Source organism: Homo sapiens, chromosome 15 (genome assembly GCF_000001405.40).
Source record: "Homo sapiens chromosome 15, GRCh38.p14 Primary Assembly".
NCBI lineage: Eukaryota > Metazoa > Chordata > Mammalia > Primates > Hominidae > Homo > Homo sapiens.
This window is the reverse complement of record NC_000015.10, coordinates 48,106,111-48,110,539: the sequence shown is the minus strand read 5'-3', so window position 1 is coordinate 48,110,539 and position 4,429 is coordinate 48,106,111. Positions and strand designations below refer to the sequence as shown.

The 4,429-nt window shown below is 43.9% G+C and overlaps 1 long non-coding RNA gene across 1 annotated transcript; it reads left to right on the top strand.

The window, feature by feature from the left end:
* Positions 1–417: 417 nt before the first annotated feature.
* On the top strand, positions 418–4,222 carry LOC124903485 (uncharacterized). Its single transcript, XR_007064619.1, has 2 exons — positions 418–599; positions 3,643–4,222. It is a non-coding gene; the product is annotated as an uncharacterized LOC124903485 (long non-coding RNA).
* The last annotated feature ends 207 nt before the right edge of the window (positions 4,223–4,429 follow it).

Genomic DNA, 4,429 nt, shown 5'->3' with positions numbered 1-4,429 from the left:
CTGGGATAAGAAATGCAAATTACTCAGTGTGCTTTGAAGTCCTTCCTTAGCAATGAGAGAGGGAGGCTGTCATATCTCTGTTGTTGTTGCAGTTGTTGTTGCAGAGGAGGCTGGTGTGGGGCTAGAGAACAAGGAGCAGAATTGACCATAAAGACTGACCATTGTAATCTGAGTAGCTTAGTACATCATGCCCATGCAGTCCAAGACTGTTCCTGGGACTGGAACTATGGCCATTCCTAGTAAGTCTGTCTGCTGAGTGCATGACCTGCAGAAGTCTTTGTGAAAAGGGTCCTTGCGTTTTGGCCTGCTGGGCTGCTGTTTTAGATATGTCCAAGGAATTAGAACTATATTACTTTTTTTCTAGAACATGAGGACACACAAATCTCACCTTTTGCCTTTCTCTCTCTCGTTTTCCAGTTCTTTCTGAAACTATTAGATCACTGTGGTCTACATGGACGTGGGCCTCCCAGATCCCCCTTGAGGAAGGAATGTCACCCCAGCTGCTATGAGTGCCAGCTCACAGCCCCTTCATGCACTCCTCAGCAGCAGGGAGCCACCTCACCTGAGGGCAAGAGGTTCACAGGGCAGCCCATGTCCAGGTAAGGCAGGGACATAAAAGCCCAGCCATTTCAGCCCGACACACAGCTCTAGTGGCTAATATTCATTTCGGAGCTGCCCTCTGGTTTAGCTGAGGCTTTGTTGGACTTAACTTTGAAGTTTGACTTCTCCCACTTCCCGATCCTGCTCCCTCTCACAGTTCCTGAGCCCAATAAATATCTTGTACTCCCAACTTCATCTCAGTGACAGCCTCTGAAGAACTCTACCTTCAGTGACTTCATCTCCCTGATAGACTCAGCCTGCTCGGTAGCCTGGTAGAGTTCTATGCTCAGACTTCCAAACTTTACTCTTGATATGTAAACAGTGAGTTTTAGATTTTAGAAAATGCTTTCTTTTTTCCTTCAACAAATCTTGGCTTTTAAAACTGTTGCCCTCTGTGGATAGAAGGAAAAAAATTGCATTTGACACTTGAAGTTGGGGAATGACTCCTTTGTTCTAGGCTGTGTTTGGCCTTTACTTGAAGCAATGAATGCCATTGATTCAATGCGTGGGTAGCCATAAGGCAAAAGGAAATGAAAAAAAAAAAAGTTGGAAGGCATTTTGAAAACATTATCTCCTTTATATCTATATGAAAGAGTTTTGTAAACCCCAGAGCACCAGGCAAATGCTGGTTGCTACTGATGGCAGAGCACTGCGGCAGTGCACTGAGCCCTGGGCTGGCCGCCTCTTAGTCTCCCACAGCAGACCCTGTTATTCCGCCAAGTTTGGGGGTCTGGAAAGTGTGGAAGGGATGAGGCAGCAGCTATGATGGTGGGATTGGCTGTTTTCTAGCTATAATCTTTTTATCTCAGCGCCCCCCCGCCTCGTGTCCTGGGCTTTCTGCCCTCCTTTTGACGCATGTGCTTATTTTTGTGGCTCTGGAGGATCTTTCTAATGAGATTTTCCTCCTGGATACAAAGGGAACAAGAGGTTTCATTTCAAGGGCAGGCTGTCCTTCTCCGCCTTCTGTGCTTACCTTTTGAGCATGACTGCACAGCCATTAAATCGTCCTGCATGTGGACTCACACTCATATCATTGGTGTGGCCACTGGAGAACCTCAAATGAGCAGCCACCTTAGGTTTCCTTCTTAAGGGATGTGGTTTAACTGCAACATTGAGTGTCCGCACGGCACCACCCCGTTAGCAGACTTGGCTTCCCCTGCAGAGGATAGGTCAGCAAGAGAAACATGAACGGGGGCTGCCATGATGGTAGCGTCTCACAGACACTGAGCTTCATAGAGACCAGGTCTTTGCGCCTAGGAGACTGAAGCAGAGCTCAGAAGTTTCAGCAAAGTCCAGGTCTTACTCTCCTGAAGATCCACAGTTTTCTGTTAAAAAAAAAAAATCATGAAAGTCATTTGGCCCTTCTACATGGCAGAGTAGAAGTTTCCTAAAATATATTATTATTAATTATGTATATTATTAATCAAAATAGCTCTTTTGAGCATGCACTGCTCTAAGCATTTACATTTATTATGATATTTAATTCCCACAATAACTTTAGGAGAAATTTGTCACTAATATTCTCATCTTATATATGAGGAAGGAGAGGCACAGAGAAGTTAAGAAGCACCCATTCTTCTGTAGTCCCTAACTGTTCATAAGGGTTTGCTAACTAGGTTTTCAGTTACTGAGTAACTATTCATAGAGCACCTGCTGTATACCAGATGCAGTGCTAGCACTGGAGACAGAGTGCTGAGCAAATAAACATGGTCCATGTAACGTTGGAAGACAAGGATGGTCAGAGTGTGTGGATCTTGATGGACAGTATCTACATATCAGTTTTTTTGTTTTGTTTTGTTTGCAGGGGAATAAAACCTCTTAAAAGCTCAGCTGGGAGAAACCAGGTTTCTGGAACATTTCTAAAGGATGTATTATATGTGGCCCATCTTTCTTCCCCATTTCCAATCTCAGTGAATGATGCCGCCCAGGTTGTCATCTGTGACTCCTACTTCTCCCTTCCCTCACAGCATCCATCAATCACTGAGTTCTGATAACTCTGCTTCCTAAACTTCTCTTGAGTTAACTCACTCCTCTCCATATCCATCACCACCATCATCTGTTGCCCAGAGTTCTGCAATAGCCTCCTGACTTGTCCCTTGTCATCTCTCTTGCCACCCTACAGCCCGCTGTCCTTCCAACACCTGTGTGTCAAGTGGGCAGTTGAATATAGGGGTCTAGAGATCAGAGGTGCAGCCAGGCAGGCAAGGAGAAGCTGGCAAATGAATTTCAGAAACAGGGTCACTGAGGTAGTAGGAAAACCAGAGGAATGTGGTATTTCCAGAGTAGAAGGTGGGCGGCTTTAAAGGAGGGAGCAGTTAGGGGTTAAGATGAAATATGAAACATCCCCTAACATTTGCCAGCACGGAGAACATGGGTGTCTTTCAGAGACGTTTCAATGGAGTCCTTTGTGTAGATGTAAAATTGGAGTAAACTCTTAGAAGTGGAAATTAATTTTTTTTTAACTATATGTGAAAGAAAAAATTGAATAGCAGCTGGAGGGGGGATATTGAGTGAGGGAGTTGGTTTTTTGTTTGTTTGTGTTTGTTTTTACCATGCTAAACCTTACAGCATGTTTATGCATTGATGTGAATGACCCATAACTAGAAAGAGATTGGAAATGCAGCAAAGAGAGAGGAAATCTTTGAGGTGCTGGGGCTCAGGGTTCCAGAGCCTCAAGGGGAAATGGCATTTGTTGGATGAACTCTGCTTTTCCCACTGAAACGGGGAGGAAGAGAGATATAGATAAAGGAGACTTAAGGATTTGGTGGGGAGGAAGATGCATACATTCTTATCTGATGGTTTCTATTTTTCTAATCATAAAATCATTTAAAAATGTTTAATTTACATTTGAAGGAGGTTTGAGGAGAGAGACTACAGAAGATATAAGGGAATCATTTTGAAGCTGGAGAGGCTAATTAACTAGGGAAACGTAAAGGGGGTGTGAGTGTTTTGTTCAGGTTTTCACTGTGGGTTTAAAGTGCATCTGGTCAGCAGGATTATGTTTGTGTTTTCCCCCAGTAATATTCAGTTTTTCAAATGCAGGTTTGGATAAACTGGACTCAGCCAGGCTTGGTTTTATTCCAGGAAAGTGTGACAGAAGAGAGAGGAGTCAAGGAGGAGAGGACATTTTCAAGGAGGTGATTGGGATGATAAGCCCTGTGATCTAAATGAGTAAGAAGGAAAATAAAAACAGGAGGTGTCGGCTAGATAATGAGCAAGTGGTTGATGGTTTGGGGATACTGATGAGGCTGACGACTATGTCAGGGAGCTGGAGCTAGGAGAGGAGGTATGGGTCAGAGATGGGGTTTTCTGAAACGGATTCCAGAGGTGGTGCTGATTGCAGTAGCAACAAGGTAGTTTGTGATAACAAGAACAGATTGGCTACAATGAAGTGAAGGGAAAAGCAACTGGGCATGAGACTTTCAAGGAGCTGCAAGCCTGGGGTTTAGAGGTCCTCTCATTGTGCACACATCTCAATATTTTGTGGTTGTTGGCTCATCTTTCCAACAAGTCTGTAATTCTCTGCAGGAAGAAACTACATTTATCTTGTCACCGCTCCCTCCCTAATGCCCAGCACAGTACCTGACCCACACAAATACTCAATAAATATTTACTGAATGAACAAGGAACTCCATTCTTTTTAAAATTTTACAAGTTACTCCTGAATTGAGAGCTGCACTCTGGGACTCCATTGTCTTGACTCCGTATGGACCACTTTTTGTGAGCTGCCTTGTGGGTAATGACATTTACTGCTGCTGTGGATGCTGTAAGAAGCATCCTGTTTAAGTCTCCTTGGTATTTAATATAGGAGGTTGCTGAGGAAGTAGTT